The 17,002-nt window shown below is 39.4% G+C and overlaps 1 protein-coding gene and 1 pseudogene across 2 annotated transcripts in view, besides 1 other annotated feature; both read left to right on the top strand.

The window, feature by feature from the left end:
* Positions 1-17,002, top strand: part of ASXL2 (ASXL transcriptional regulator 2) — a 144,735-nt gene that overhangs the window by 56,993 nt on the left and 70,740 nt on the right. For both annotated transcript variants that reach the window (NM_018263.6, NM_001369346.1), the window contains one exon: positions 15,158-15,266. In NM_018263.6, the coding sequence (NP_060733.4) occupies positions 15,158-15,266 (109 nt within the window). The remainder of the gene's footprint in view (positions 1-15,157; positions 15,267-17,002) is intronic.
* Positions 3,686-3,865: an enhancer, noted in NCBI's record as "active region_15464". NCBI's record gives its function as "activates an Ori minimal core promoter by ATAC-STARR-seq in GM12878 lymphoblastoid cells {active_cell/tissue: GM12878}" and the evidence as "EXISTENCE:reporter gene assay evidence [ECO:0000049][PMID:35858748]".
* Positions 10,768-12,807, top strand: TPM3P7 (tropomyosin 3 pseudogene 7; annotated as a pseudogene).

Genomic DNA, 17,002 nt, shown 5'->3' with positions numbered 1-17,002 from the left:
ACCACGCCCAGCCCCGCATATTTTTTTAAAAACAACTTTATTGAGGTGTAGTTTACATGCCATAAACTCCAAATTCCACCTCATTTTCCTTTTTTTTTTTCCCTCCTTTCCTTTCCCTTTCCCCTTTTTCTTTCTTTCCTGACAGGGTCTTGCTCTGTCACCCAGGCTGGAGTGCAGTGGTACAGTCATAGCTCACTGCAGCCTTGAACTCCTGGGCACAAGGGATCCTCTCATCTCAGCTTCTGGAGTAGTTGGGACTATGGGAACACACCACCACACCTGGCTATTTATTTATTTTTTTGATTTTTTCTTTTTGAGACGGAGTCTTGCTCTTGTTGCCCAGACTGGAGTGCAGTGGCGCGATCTTGGCTCACTGCAACCTCCATCTCCCGGGTTCAAGCTGTTCTCCTGCCTCAGCCTCCTGAGTAGCTGGGATTATGGGCATGTGCCTCCATGCCCGGCTAATTTTGTGTTTTTAGTAGAGACGGGGTTTCTCCATGGGATTTCTCCATGTTGGTCAGGCTGGTCTCGAACTCCTGACCTCAGGTGATCCGCCCGCCTAGGCCTCCCAGTGTGCTAGGATTACAGGCGTGAGCCACCGCGCCTGGCCTGATTTCTTAATTTTTACATTTTTTGTAGAGACAAGTTCTCCATATGTTTCCCAGGCTGGTCTCAAATTTCCGGGCTCAAGCGATCCTCCCACCTCAGCCTCCCAAAGTGTTAGGATTTTGGGCCAGTCACCACACCAGGCCAGAAACTCCACCTGTTTTCAGTGCACAGTTCAATGGTTTTAAGTAAATTTACTGAGTTGTGCTATTATCACCATAATCCGGTTTTAGAATGTTTTCATCACTCCAGTGAGATCTCTCATACTGGATACGGGTAATGCTGGCTCCTCCTAACAGCCTGTAATCTACTTTCTGTCTCTGTAAGTTTGGCCATATCTGGACATTCATATAAATGGAATCATATAATATGTAATCATAAACTCCAAATTCCATCATGTTTGTAGCATTGATCAGTACTTCTTTCTTTTCATTGGTCCAAATTGTTGTATAGACTTTTCTCATATACTTACTTTTTTAAAAATCATATACATTTATTTAACTTTATATGGTATATTGCAGACTTAGAAAAGTTGCAAAGGTAGTACAAAGAATTCTTATATAAACTTTATCTGGATTCTCCAGATGTTAACATCTGTCTAATTTGTGTTTCTGAGATGTCTGAGGATAAATTGTAGACATAATGCCCCATTCACTTTTAAATACTTCAGAGTAGGCTTGATGCAGTGGTTCACACCTATAATCTCAGCACTTCGGGAGCTGAGGTGGGAGGATTGCTTGAGTGCAGGAGTTCAAGACCAACCTGGGCAACAAAGCGAGCCCGTCTCTATACAATAATAAAATAAAATAATTAGCCAGGTATCGTGGTGCACACTTGTAGTCCCAACTACTCTAGAGGTGGAGGCAGGAGAATTAAATTTGAGCCCAGGAGTTCAAGGCTGCAGTGAGCTATGATTGCACCACTGCACTCTAGCCTGGGGGACAGAGCAAGATCCTGTCTAAAAATAAATAAATAAATAAATAAGTCAGTCAAGCAAGCAAACTTCAGAATATATTTTCTAAAGGCAAGTACATTCTTTAACTACAGGGTAAAATAGTTAATAGGAAATCTACATTGGCACAATATTATCTAATCAGACTTTATCCAGATTTGGTAATTCTCCCACTGATGTCCTAATCCAGGATCACATGTTGTATTTGCATTTAGTTTTCATGTATCTTTACTCTTCTTTAATCTGGAATTGTACTTCAGTCTTTATCTTTCATGACTAGACATTTTTTTTAGTGCAGGCCAGCTGTTTTGCAGATTGTTTCTCAATTTTTATTTCTGCTGTTTAATTATGATTAGATTTAAGTTGTGCAGTTTTGGCAGGAGTGTCACAGGATCGATAGGACATTTTTACCATAATATATCTGGATTCCATGATTTCAGTGTACCACAGTATTAGTGATGGTAACTGTGATTACTTGGTTTATGCAATGTCTACTGTTTCTTCACTGTAAAGATACCATTTTTCCCCTTTGTAATTAGTAAGTATTTTGGGGTGAAGATACTCTGAGACTCTGTAAACATCTTGTTTCTCATTGTACCTTTGCCCACTAATTTTAGCATGTTATTAATCTATTGCTGCTTAACAATATTATCACAGATTTAGCAGCTTAAAACAGTGCATTTATTATCTCAGTTTCTATGTGTCAGGAGTCTGAGCACGGCTTTACCTGATCCTCGGCAATGCAGCAGAGCGTTGGTCAGGGCTGAGTTTTTACCTGAAGACTTGATTGGGGAATGATCAGCTTCCAAGCTCATGTGGTTGTTGGAAAGATTCAATCCTTGTGGGTTATCAGATTGAGGGTCTGGATTCTTAGCTGGCATTTGGCTAGAGGCTGTCCTGAGTTCTGTGGCCTTCCCCAACATGGCCACATGCTTCCTCAAAGCCAGCAAGGAAGAGTCATCAAGCGAGGACACTGCAGTCATATGTGAAATAGTCACTTATGTGAGACCCTTTACCTTTGTTCTTTTTTGATTATTAGAAGCTGATTACAGGCCCTACCCACACTACAGGGGAAGGAATTATGTAGGGCCATGAGTACACAAAGCAGGGATTACTGGAAGCCTTTTTAGGTCTGTCTACCACAGCATCCACTAATCTTACCTGAAACTTCCTATCACTGTTGCCGCATATGGTGATTTTCTAATTCTGTCAATCTTGGTATATATATATATTTTTTGTTGGAATTTTACTGTGAGGAATTCTCCCCCACTCGTTGATTTGTTCATTTATTCTTAGCATGACCTCATGGATTCTTATTCTTTGGGTTATTTCTGCTATAGTCATTTATTGCTTTAGGGTAAGTAGCAATTTAATTCCTCCAAGAACAGCATTTAGAGAAGTCTTTAGCATGGGTTTCTCTTTTTTTGAGATGAGCTCTCACTCAGTCGCCCAGGCTGGAGTACAGTGGCATGATCTCGGCTTACTGCAACCTCTACCTCCCAGGTTCAAGCAGTTCTCCTGCCTCAGCCTCCCGAGTAGCTGGGATTACAGGTGCCCGCCACCATGCCCAGCTAAGTTTTTTGTATTTTTAGTAGAGACGGGGTTTCGCCATTTTGGCCAGGCTGATCTCGATCTCCTGACATCAAGTGATCCACCTGTCTTGGCCTCCCAAAGTGCTGGAATTACAGGCGTGAGCCACTGCGTGGCCCAGCATGGATTTTTAAACAGGATTTGAGGTATAGTAAGTCATTGGTCAAATATACTCTAAATGAAAGATAAATTTTAACAGGTGAGCCATTCTATCATAGGTTTGCAAAGCCTTTGAAATTCTATTTGAAAATATACTTTGATGTAACAGACTTTCAAGTTACCATCAAAATGCTGAAAATGCTTTTATATTAATGTGTTTTAAGTGAAGAGCTAATTTTTCCCCTAAAAATCATTACCATGTAACTTAAATGATTAAAAGTTTTGGTGATATGATCTAAATATACTCATTCTAAAACCACTAGTTTTCTCAGCTTCATCTTTGGCTTGTCTCTTGATCTTTGAATGTTATGTATAGGCATCCCCTTCTTTGTATTTGTGGGCATCTGGGGTTCTCACTCTCTGTCAGTGTATCATCTTGTACTTGGTGAACAAGTACCTTGCTATTCAGTGTGTCTTTTTAAGTGAAAGTCTTTCATTTCCATCTGTATGCAATTTCCCCTCTTACCTGCTGTTCTAGTTTTTGTTTTGTTTTTAATAGCATGCCCTGTGACAAAGTGATTTTCAAAAAGAGCTCTATTGTCTTTCAGAAGTTTCCTTGTTTTAATAGTTTATTTGTATATTTCCGGACTATTTACTTCAATATTTCTTGTAGAAATGATGCCTGATAACCCCCTACCCAAATTAAATTAATCAGTGAAAAAAATGTACACTGAAGAACATATCCTGAAAAACTTTTAAGTAGGAATAACCATTGTTTATTGCATTTAATTGAAGAGACCAAGAAAGTTACTAGGCTTTAGTTTCTTCACTGTGAGGTAATATTAATTCCTAAATGATCTCTGAAGTTGAGGAAAAACAAAATAGAAAAATTCTGAAAGTGTATTGTCATTTTAAAAATGAAAGTTGAAAAAAGTAGAAAACATTTACGTTTCTTATATGTTACCTAATTGCAAATGTATTCCACTTTTTTCCAAAAAATAGTTTCTCCATTCCTTGTTTACTTTGGTGCATTTCTTTTTGGCTGGATTTCATCATCAGCTAGAATTTTTACATTTATGGATGATCTTTTCCCTGAGTTCTTGCGGGCTTAAGAATTTTTTTTTTTGAGACAGAGTCTTGCTCTGCCAACCAGGCTGGAGTGCAGTGCAATCTTGGCTCACTGCAACCTCCGTCTCCTGGGTTCAAGCAATTCTCATGCCTTAGCCTCCCAAATAGCTGGGATTACAGATGCCTACCACCATGCTTGGATAATTTTTGCATTTTTAGTAGAGACTGGGTTTCACCATGTTGGCCAGGCTGGCCTCGAACATCAGACCTCAGGTGATCCGCCAACCTCGGCCTCCCAAAGTGTTGGGATTACAGGCGTGAGCCACCACACCAAGCCAAGAATGTTTTCTATTGCCTCTTTGTTTGAATGCCATCTAGGCTAGATATAAAATTTTTCATTCATACTCTTAAGAACTTTTTTTGCTGTCTTTTGGCAGTGAGTATTGCTAAGAAAGCAAATGTTTCCTTCATTATATAGTGCTTGCTTTATTGGTCAATATTTTGCTGCATAATCTTAAAATTTCAGTGGCTTATAACAACAAATACTTTTTTTCTTCCTCATGTCTTTAGGTTAACTGGGGCTTAGTTATTGTTAGCTAGACTTTGTTGTAGGCTGTGGATTGTTCTCTCCTTCTGCTGGAATCTGGCTCTCATGTCAATCACAGGAGTCAGCCAAACAGGCAAATTTTAGCCTCTGCTTCCGTCATGTCTCTTATTTCATTGATCAAATCAAGCCTTGTGGCCAAGACGAACATCATTGTGGCAGGGAAATATATTTCACTTACTGTAACGTACTGCAAGGTCACACGATGGTGTGAATGATGAAATGGAAACACTAATTCAAGCTGCCACTTTGGCTTTTAACGCCTGGAACCTGGTTTGATTCTTTCTTTATCCTTGACGCTTAAGATTTAGGAAAATATTAACTTTTTTTTTTTTTTTGAGATGGAGGCTCGCTTTGTCGCACAGGCTGGAGTGCAGTGGCTCACTGAAACCTCCGCCTCTTGGATTCAAGTGATCAGCTCACCTTGGTCTTCCAAAGTGCTGGGATTACAGGTGTGAGCCACCGCACCCAGCCAAGATTTAGGAAAAATTTAGATGTTTCTGAGTATCTGAGTACTTGGGGTTAGTCTGTACAGATTTGGGTAGCATCTTACCTCTTACATTATCATGTAATATACATTATTGATGCATAAGGGTAATCTTTTCTCGTTAACAGAAGAGAGTGGTTTACCTGTGAATATTCTCCTGTGTTGTTGTTCTTTTCCCTTTCCTATCTCTGTAAATTTGATTGCTTTTATGTAGGTGCTTTGTATCTATTAAGATACTTCCAGCTGTAAATGACAGGAAACACGATGTAAACTGGCTTAAACATTGAAGGAATCTCATCATTTAATGCAAGTGAAAAAAACAGGCAAAACTTTATCCAAGTTCTCCAGTCAGTTTCATCAGTATCTCAGCTCTGCTTCCTTCAATTTTGTTCCATTCTCAGTAGGCTCATCCATCATAATTGCAAGATGACTGCTCACAGGCCTTAGAGCTGGATATTTTGGGTTGAATTGTAGAAGAGAAGAAAGATTCTACTTTTCAGAGACATTAAAATCACTCATCACTGAGTCTGGCTCGCTTACAGTTGAGTCAGATTTTTTCCTTTCAGTATATGTAGTTATAAATATGTGTTTCAGAGAAGTATAGGATTTATAGAACATAGAAGTGGCTTATTTTAGCAAGAGACATTAAGGCTAAAATCTGAAAAGTTGAATTGGAGGTTGCTAGGAGAAAAGGAGGTGAGGGTTATCATTGCAAGCAGAAGTGTTGGGCCAAGTAGTCAGAAGAATTTTAAATTACCAAATGAAAAGAAAGGTAGAGTAGGCTGGCAGAGAGGGTGTGTAGCAGAATGGTCAAGGTCAGATTATTTTGGTCAAGGTCAGATTATTTTGATAATTTTGTACTTTATACTAAGAACATTATGATATGGATGAATTTTAAGCTGGACAGGAGGTAGTATGATCATATTTATATTTAAAAGGTTACTCTGGCTTCAGAGTGGAGAATAGTTGTATGTGAGGGTGAGATTCCTATCACTTGAGATGGGGAACACTGGAACACTGCCAGACTAGGGTAGGATAGTAAGTTGGTAAAGTAACTGCTGTAGTTACTGAATCTTGACTCTGTGACATATACTTGGTATGTACATTATCTGTGATCTGTACAATCGAGTTACACAGTAGGCAGTATTACCTCTATTTTGCAGATGAGTAAATTAAGGGTGTTTAAAGTGACTTGCCCAGGCTACAGTCAGGTCTGTATTCAGATTGGTATGAATCATTAAATCTGGCTCTTTACCATGCAGTGATGACTCCTTTCATTAATTGCTATATTTGCTTTATCTAAGCAGTACAATGATTGACTTCTGCTCTCTTAGCCCTACTAGCTACTGCTAGCTTTTATTACAGAGAGAACTAAAAAGGGCCATTGGCAATATGATCAAAGTCACTTTAGTTCTTTGGGCCTTATGTACAAAACATATTAGTATGTTTGCTTACATGCTCACCGCATAAAATTATAGCACTGCACTTGTTCCTTTCCTTGACAGAACCCCTACCTCTTCAACCCCAATCTCTTGAGCATGGACAAGAAAAATTAGAAGCTGACTTGTTGTGTGATAGTTACATAATCTTTAAGGTGGTTCTTACTACAGCTGCTTCGGGTGTTAGTACTTACCCTACTGAATTTACTTGAACTTTTAAGTTGGTATTGATCTCAGTACTATGGTTTTATCACCCATGCAGATGATGTCTTATTTCTTCAAGTCGTTCACTTTTATTTAATTATAGAATTCTGGAGCTCTACCTTCCCATGAGGATATATTCCAGCCATCATGGGTAGTGTGTCCTGTTTTGCTTCTCTGCTATTGCTTTATTATTCATAAAAATAAACTGCCCGGATTCTTTGACTTTTTGTATTTTCCTGAGATCATGCCTAAATTTTGTTTTAAATGGTACTGTGTCCTGTATATCTTGTAGGTTTTTCAAAATTTTGTTTCCTTCAAAGAAAATTATATCCAGATTTGCAAGGAAAATATTATGGCAGTTTGTAGTTATTCTTTTTTTTTTATTTTTTATTTTTTGAGACGGAGTCTCGCTCTGTCGCCCAGGCTGGAGTGCAGTGGCACGATTTTGGCTCACTGCAACCTCCGCCTCCTGGGTTCACGCCATTCTCCTGCCTCAGCCTCCCAAGTAGCTGGGACAACAGGCGCCCGCCATCACGCCCGGCTAATTTTTGGTATTTTTAGTAGAGTCAGGGTTTCACCGTGTTAGCCAGGATGGTCTCGATCTCCTGACCTCATGATCCGCCTGCCTTGGCCTCCCAAAGTGCTGGGATTACAGGCGTGAGCCACTGCGCCCGGCCGACAGTTTGTAGTTATTCTTACCACATCTTTTCACCAGATGTGTGTGCCATTTACTTTCATTTTATAGGTTTCACTTTAATGACTGTTTTGTTGTTATTTGTTGTTGTTACTCTTCTAAGTGCTAAGCCAGACTAGACTGATTTTTTTTCTCTCTGACTTAAAGCACTTTATGTACACACTTTACAGTCTCTTACCCATAATTACAGTATCCGCAGTGGTTGAAAAACTAAGTTTCCTCATACATTTAGCACCAAACTCACTTGACAACAACAGTTCTCTTGAACTGACATGAGACTGTATATAATCTTTATTTATCCATCTTAGTGTGAGTATTCATATGTTTCATTGTGTTTGGTTATGGGATGCTGTCCCTAATCTCCATGGCAGTGTCATATCATTTATGGCATATCATGTTACCTTTTTAAAATCCAAAAAATTCTTATGTCTGAAACATTTGGCCTAAGTGTTTTAGATCAGGGACTGTGGACCTGTGTTTATATTAATAGCACTGGTCACAGTGTGGTGTGGCTGTTTACTCCCTTGCCTATCTTCTCTATTAGATTCTAAGCTAAGAAAGCTTCCCTCTGTGGATCCACTAATCCTAGTTTACTGCCCTAAACAGAGTGGGTACTTAATATTGGAACTGAATACCATTAATTGGGGTAAATTTACCAGGTAGCTTATTGAAAATGTTTTTTTTCTTGGTTTTATGTCCTTTTTAAAGTAATCTCTTTCTAGTTCTGTTTCTCTTTTCCTTCTTGTTACTGGAATCTTGACTTCACCATTTATTGATAATATGATCTTGAACAGCTTATTGAAAACTTATAGTTTCTTCATTTGTAAAAACGGTGTAATAATTTTGCTCACCTCATAGATTGTTGTGAGGACTAAACAAAATGCTTCCTGGAACTTAGCACTCTTTTAGCTGCCAACATGGCTGTTGTTGATTTCTATCCTGTTGGTTACTTTATTATCATAGTCAACATTCTCTTCTTAATGGAGTTTGAGGTCATTTTTCAGTGCTTTGATGCTTTCAATGATGGAGTAAATCCTTGCACATTTGTCCTTAAGTCCTTTGGCCTTGGTTTTGTAGGACAGATTCAAGTGGGATTGTTGCATCAGTGGTCCCAAATATATTTAGTTTTAATGGATATTTCCATATTACTTTCCTAAGGCAGAATTGAGTAATGTGGGAAAAGGCAGCAGTTTTCTGTCCTCTCAACAGTCTGTAAGAGTGCCTATTTGCCCATAACCTTGTCAGCAATGGATTTTATCAATCCATTTTTTGTTATTGTTGTTGTTATTTGGAGATTAATTTTCACTGTTGTTGCCCAGGCTGGAGTGCAATGGCGCGGTCTCGGCTCACTGCAACTTCCACCTCCCAGTTTCAAGAGATTCTCCTGCCTCAGCCTTCCGAGTAGCTGGGATTACAGGCGCCCGCCACCATACCCAGCTAATTTTTTATATTTTTAGTAGAAATGGGGTTTCACCATGTTGGCCAGGCTGGTCTTTAATTCCTGACCTTCAGGTAATCCACCTGCCTCGGCTCCCAAAGTGCTGGGATTATAGACGCGAGCCACTGCGGCCAGCCTTTTTTTTTTTTTGAAATAATTATAGACTCACAGGAAATTGCAAAAATAGTACCTAGGGTCCCATGTACAGTTCATCCAGTTTCCTTTAATGGTAATATCTTATGTAAATATAGTACAATATCAGACCAGGCACAGTGGCTGACACCTGTAATCCCAGCACTTTGGGAGGCTGATGCGTGTGGATCACTTGAGGTCAGGAGGAGTTCAAGACCAGCCTAGCCAACATGGTGAAACCCCATCTACTAAAAATACAAAAATTAGCTGGGTGTGGTGGTGTGTGCCTCTAATCCCAGCTACTCAGGAGGCTGAGGCAGGAGAATCGCTTGAACCCGAGAGGCAGAGGTTACAGTAAGCCAAGATCGCACCACTGTACTCCAGCCTTGCTGACAGAGTGAGACTCCATCTCAAAAAAATATAAATAAATACAAATATAAATATAAATACATATTATATCAAACCAGGAAATTGACATTGGCATAAAACTGTTAACTATGGCTTGGGTCATTTTCTTTCTTTCCATCTGACCAATGGCATCTTGATTTAATTTGCCTTTTTATAACCACTATTAAGTTTGAGCTTCTTATTATACATTTTATTGGTAATTTACATTTATGGTTTATGAATCATTTGTTCACGTCCTTTTTTCCATTTTTTTCTAATGAGCTATTTGTTTTCCTAAAGAATATCTTCTTAGGACTATTAATCTTTTGTCTGCCGTATGTTTTGCAGTTAATTATTCTAGCTTCATATATTTTCTGTAGTTTTGTTGCTTTTATTTTTTTCCTGTGTAGAAATTTTTATTTTATACAGTCAATATGTTTCTTTGGTGGTTTTTGGGTTTTTCTCTTTTGTGGAAAGCTTTCTCTGTCTTCTAGGTTATACTGTTTTCTTTTGTTATTTATTTATTTATTTATTTATTTTTTAAGCCATGGTCTCACTCTGTTGCCCAGGCTAGAGTGCAGTGGTGTGATCATGGCTCACTGCAGCCTCAACTTCCTGGGCTCAGGTGATCTTCCCGCCTCAGCCTCCAAAGTAGCTGGTACTACAGGCGTGTGCCACAATGCATGGCTGATTTTGTGTGTGTGTGTGTGTGTGTGTGTGTGTGTGTGTGTGTGTGTGTATTTTTGTATTTTTTGTAGAGACAGGGGTTGCTCAGACTAGACTCAAGAGATCCACCCGCCTCAGCCTCCCAAAGTGCTTGGATTACAGGCATGAGCCACAGTGCCCAGAAGATTATACTGTTTTCTTTTAATCTTTTATATTTTGCCTTTGGCTTTTAATTCATTTGGAATATGTTTTTGTATATACTGTGTGCACATTCCCCCCAGATGTATGAGATATTCTAGCACTACTAAACTGTTTTATTTAGGACTTTTTCAGCTTCTTGTGACTTAAATCTCAACAAAATTCCAAAGGTAGTACTGGCTCAAGGCAAGACTTGATACACTGGTGAGAAGCAGCTGCAACGCTGAGCAGAGGAGGCAGGATCTGGAGTGTGAGCAGTAGCTGGGTGGGCACCATGGCTGGGATCACCACTATTGAGGCAGTGAAGCACAATATCCAGGTTCTGCAGCAGCAGGCAGATGATGCAGAGGAGAGAGCTGAGCACCTCCAGCGAGAAGCTGAAGGAGAAAGGCGCGCCTGGGAACAGGCTGAGGCTGAGGTGGCCTCCTTGAACCATAGGATCCAGCTGGTTGAAGAGGAGCTGGACTGTGCTCAGGAGCACGTGGCCACTGCCCTGCAAAAGCCGGAAGAAGCGGAAAAAGCTACTGATCAGAGTGAGAGAGATATGAAGGTTGTTAAAAACTGGACCTTAAAAGATGGAATTCCAGGAAATCCAACTCAAAGAAGCTAAACACACTGCAGAATAGGCAGATAGGAAGTATGAAGAGGTGGCTCGTAAGTTGGTGGTCATTGAAAGAGACTTGGAACTCACAGAGGAACGAGCTGAGCTGGCAGTGTCCCATTGCCGAGAGATGGATGAGCAGATGAGACTGATGGACCATAACCTGAAGTGTCTGAGTGATGCTGAAGAAAAGTACTCTCAAAAAGAAGACAAACGTGGAAGAGATCAAGATTCTTACTGATAAACTCAAGGAGGTAGAGACCTGTGCTGAGTTTGCTGAGAGATCGGTAGCCAAGCTGGAAAAGACAACTGATGACTTGGAAGATAAACTGAAAATGTACCAAAGAGGGGCACTCTGTACAAAGGATGCTGGACCAGACTCTGCTTGACCTGAATGAGATGTAGAGCACCTCAGTCTCACCCTGCTGCTGCTCCTCCCTCTGACCCTGATTCCATCTGAGGCCAGCCTACCCAAAGCTGACCTTTATAACTGGAAGGCTGCTTTCTCCTTTCGCTGCCCCCACCTCCCCTGTGTCTTTTTCGCTAAACTGTCTCTGCCTCTTCCCAGAGATTCCAGCTGGGCTAGAGGCTGTGCACCTTTGGGAACAACACTTAAGGGAATGTGAACACAATGCATAATGCCTTTAAAAGCATGTTGTGATGTACACATTTTGTAATACCTTTTTTGTTGTTTTATAGCAACCATTTGTAAAACATTCCAAATAATTCCACAGCTCTGAAGCAGCAATCTATTCCTTTTTCACTTTTGGAAGGTGACTTTTCAGCTTAATGCATATTGCCCTTTCCATAGAGAAGAGGAAAAGGTATAGGCCTGCCTTACTGAGAGCCAAACAGAGCCCAGGGAAAGAATCCATTATGGGAAATTTCACTGCTCTGTAAAAAGTACCCCCCAAACCAGAAAGGTGATTCCAGGAGGAGTTAGCCAAACAACAACAAAAACAAAACAAAAATGTGCTTTTCAGGTTTTCAGCTTTAAGATATCTTTGGACAATGTTATTTCTTTTTTTTTTTTCATTAGAAGTGACCAAATTAAAATGGTAAGACCTCTGAAACTAAATTTTTGTCCCAACTCTGCCCCCTCTCAACTGCCTGCAGAATGGATCATGTGCCCCTTATGTTGCAGTGACCACTTAATTGCTATCCTCCCTCCTTGAAAGATTATGTTTTGCCACTGATTTAGCCATGTGAAACTCATCTCATTATCCTTTTCTGGGTTTGAAGCTGCTCTCTCTAAAAGTGCTATCTCATTGTACTTTGTATCAGAGAAATCTTGAATAGCTTATGTACAAAACTTTTAAAGTTTTTTATTATTTTGAAGCTTTGCTTCTTTGGGTTTGTGGCACCCTGGCCACCCTGTCTGGCTGTGACAGCCTATACAGTGTGTGGGCTGGCAGTTTGCTGATCTTTTAAAGTTTCTTTCCCTACCCAATCCCCATTTTCTGGTAAGGTTTCAATGAGGTCTGTTAGGTGTACATCCTGCAGCTTATTGGCTTAAAATGTACACTCCTTTGATGTGGTCTCTTTGGGGCCAACTGGGAGAAAGACAAATCAATAGTGCAACTCTTTTGATACCAAATATTGACACAAGTGTCTTTTTGAAATAAAGAACAGGTCTCTCCAAAAAACAAAACAAAAAAGGCTTGATACAGGCAAAAGTAATACTACTTTAAAAATTTTGGCCAGGCGCAGTGGCTAACACCTGTAATCCGAGCACTCTGGGAGGCTGAGGTGGGCAGATCACCTGAGGTCAGGAGTTCGAGACCAGCCTGGCCAACATGGTGAAACTCCATCTCTACTGAAAATACAAAAATTACCAGGGTGTGGTGGCAGGCATCTGCAATCCCAGCTACATGGGAGGCTGAGCATGAGAATCTCTTGAACCCAGGAGATGAAGGTTGCAGTGAGCCAAGATTGCACCATTGCACTCCAGCCTGGGGGATAGAGTGAGACTCTGTCTCAAAAACAAAAACAAATTTGCTTCCTGACTTTTCTCAGTTCTGCCCTTTTTGGTGTTGGATTTCTCCTTACGATTCATACTGTGTCACTCCTCAGTCTGTCTTGTATGTTGTGCCATTCTAATTCCAGATTTTTCCTTTGTGGTCACACAATGACTGTGAATGTTTTAGGCCTTGCTTCCTAATACCACACAAGGGAAGAGAAAGGATCCCTTTCTGAAGATTCCGTGGAGAACAAGTTTTGGTTGTTTTTTTTCCCCCCCATATACCCAAGTAAATAGCTCCATAGATTTTTGGCCCTAAGTCATGTATCTGTTCTTTGGGGTGGAGAGTGTGTGTGTGTGTGTGTGTGTGTGTGTGTGTGTGTAAAAGCTGATTAATTTAAACCAATTAGGATTTACCCCCGGGCTGGGCATGGGATTCAGTCCCTCTCAACCACATGACTGAAAGTGAGAAAAGTTGTTTCACAGGAAATTTTTGGGTACTGTCTCCAAAGAAGAGGGAACAGAAGCCAGGTAGTCAAACTACAGGGGACTATGGCATGACCTCATGTTTTTCATACTAAACATAAATGATACCTTTTAAATTATTATCTGTTTCTGCATTTTCTGTTTTCTTCCACCAACAGTCTATGAGGGTATTCATTTGGTGATTTTTTTTCTCTCGGAAACATACTACTTCAATAATAGTGGCTAAGAGTACATGTTAATATCTTTTTAAGCAAGTCTCCCATCATTTTTTTTCTGGAAATTTCTTGGCAATTTTTATATATTTATTTGATACAAACTTTGGGATCCTGATTGGAATTACATTATATACATTTTTAACATGGAAATCCAAATCAGATAAACGTAGCTATGGAAATCAACTTGGAAATGCTCAATAGTTTCTTCTGCAAAAGGCTTTTCTTTCCTTTGTTATTATTCACCAATGTTTTGGGGGGATGAAAACCTTCTCTGTATTTTCGACCCTGGACACTTTCACAGTACCAAGAGACAGTGGACTCATGTCCCAGCTCTTCCCAGCAGATAACTCCTTAGATAGACTAAGAATCCAACAGCCTCTTCTAGTAGGCTTATTTTTGGTTATTGAGTAGCATCAACAGAAAACTGAGAGGGAAAAGAGCTGGAAATGTGGGGTTAAACTGCCTTAAACCTCAGGTATTGTGATCAGTTTTTAAAAACCATTTAAGGATGCCACACATCTCCAGAGACTTCAGACCACGGTTTCCATTTAATTGCTTCCATATGAACTATGTGTTTGCTTGCTACCTAATTTTTTTCTTATGTGAAGTATGATATTTTATCTAATGATTTTGTTATTTTCCTTAGATGTAGAAACATTGTCTTCAAGTATTATAGCACTATTTTAAAATATTTGGTTGGTGCAAAATTAACTGTGGTATAATTATTAATTATATTTTATATTTTTCTATAGATTATTATATACCTGAAATTCTAGTAAAGATGATAAATATATATTAGAATTAATAAACATTTAACCAAGTTGCTACATATAAATATTCAGAAGCCTACTTAATAACTTTTTAAGTGATCTCATGATAGGTTTGAATACAAGAGACAATGGCAATGTGTTAGTTTCACAATTAAGATTCAGTCTGGTGCAGCAGTATACAATGGAATTATTACTGTTTATTTGAATCTGTGTGTGTTTGTGTTCTTTTTTCTCATTTTACCTCTGGACATTTGTAAAGCTTGTGCTAAATAGAATGTTTACAAAATATGTTTGTAATACTTCTGTATTTTTCTTGACTTAAATGTTAGATACTGGATCAGCATTAAGGAATTACTATTTTGTAGATACATGGAAATGATTTTTACATCCATTTTCTCCATGGCAGCCCCTTTCTATATTGGTAGACTTCTTATAGTTTATAAGATATGTTTAAGTCAAAGGAGTATTGACTAATTAATTTTATTTTGAGTGTTACATAGGATATTCAGAGACAGAAATTAATTGTTGTGTTCCTTATCACATCTCTTCTTTGTTTTGCAGTGGGACTTCTCCTCTTGCATGCCTGAATGCAATGCTTCACACAAACTCCAGAGGTGAAGAGGGCATCTTCTATAAGGTTCCAGGTAGAATGGGAGTATATACTTTGAAGGTAAATATTTTGTTGGGGAGTCATTTAGAAAGAAAAAACAGGAAGTGACCACATATAAATATTTGACTCGTAGGGACAGAATTCTGTTCTTGAAGAGCTTATTTTCAGGAAGAGGTAATATTTTGAAACCTCTACCCAATACATTTTTTAAAAACTAATCTATAACTAACTATAGGTAGATCAGAGAAGTAACTTTATTTTTTATTCTTGATGATAATCTTATCTAGAAAGAACGAAATTAAAATGACTTATGGCCAGGCGTGGTGGCTCACGCCTGTAATCCCAACATTTTAGGAGGCCGAGGTGGGCAAATTGCCTGAGCTCAGGAGTTTGCGACCAGCCTGGGCAACACAGTGAAACCCCACCTCTACTAAAATGCAAAAAATTAGCCAGGGCGTAGCGGTGTGTGCCTGTAGTCCCAGCCACTCAGGAGGCTAAGGCAAGAGAATTGCTTGAACCCGGGAGGCGGAGGTTGCAGTGAGCCAAAATCACGCCACCGCACTCCAGCCTGGGCGACAGAGTGAGACTTTGTCTCAAAAAATAAAATAAAATAAAATAAAATAAAAAATAAATAAAATGACTTCTAGTGTTTTAAGGAGCCCCACAACATTTGTATAATAATTGTTTCTTTGGAGCATTCTGCTTAGATGCTTTACATTACATTCTCATTTCATTCTCTCTCACAATTCACAGTTGGGGTGAATACCATTTAATAATTTTTTATTGCTGTTTGTTTTGTTAGATAAGTACAAAAAGACAGGAAAAAGAAATATGATTACAATTAGGAAAATGTATATTTTTCTATAGACTATTATATACCTGAAATTCTAGTAAAAATGATAAATATTCCATTTTTATGATGGAGAGCCCCACAACATTTGTATAATAATTGTTTAAGAAGCCTCACAACATTTGTATAATAATTGTTTCTTTGGAGCATTCTGCCTAGATGCTTTACATTACATTCTCATTTTATTCTCTACCACAATTCACAGTTGTGGTTATTATTCCGTTTTTATAATGGAGAAAGTCAAAGTTCAGAAGATTGGATTTTCTTGCCCAGTGTTGCCCATATAGTATCAGAACCGGTATAGGAACCCAGATCTGACTGAATTCCCAAGCCCATATTCTTTCTAACATAACAAGCTTGCTAATTTCTTTCTTTTCTTTCTTTCTTTCTTTTGACAGTCTCGCTCTGTTGCCCAGGCTGGAGTGCAGTGGCACAGTCTTGGTTCGCTACAACCTCCGCTTCCTGGGTTCAAGCGATTCTCCTGTCTCAGCCTCTCAAGAAGCTGGGATTACAGATGCCCACCACCACGCCCAGCTAATTTTTGTATTTTTAGTAGAGATGGGGTTTCACCATATTGGCCAGGCTGGTCTCAAACTCCTGACCTCAGGTAATCCACCCTCCTCGGCCTCCCAAAGTGCTGGGATTACAGGCGTGAGCCACCGTGCCCGGCCTTCAAGCTTGCCAATTTCAAATTCCTGCACTGAGAAGAGACCTTTACTTATCAATAACTTTTCACTTACGAACAGGAAAACCAACTCAAATGAGTTTGAGTAAGACAATTTATTAGCTTATGTAACTGAAAATTCTAAGGAAACCCAGGCTGGATCCAGGAACTCAGTTGACATCATCAGGGTTTGGTGTCTCCACTTCCTTTTGACTTCGCTCTCAGTCAGAGTTTCTCCTCATCATATATAACTTCAGCCCCAACCTGCACTCTGCAAGCTGT

Source organism: Homo sapiens, chromosome 2, assembly GCF_000001405.40.
Source record: "Homo sapiens chromosome 2, GRCh38.p14 Primary Assembly".
Classification (NCBI taxonomy): Eukaryota; Metazoa; Chordata; class Mammalia; order Primates; family Hominidae; genus Homo; species Homo sapiens.
This window is presented reverse-complemented; position numbering and strand designations above follow the sequence as displayed.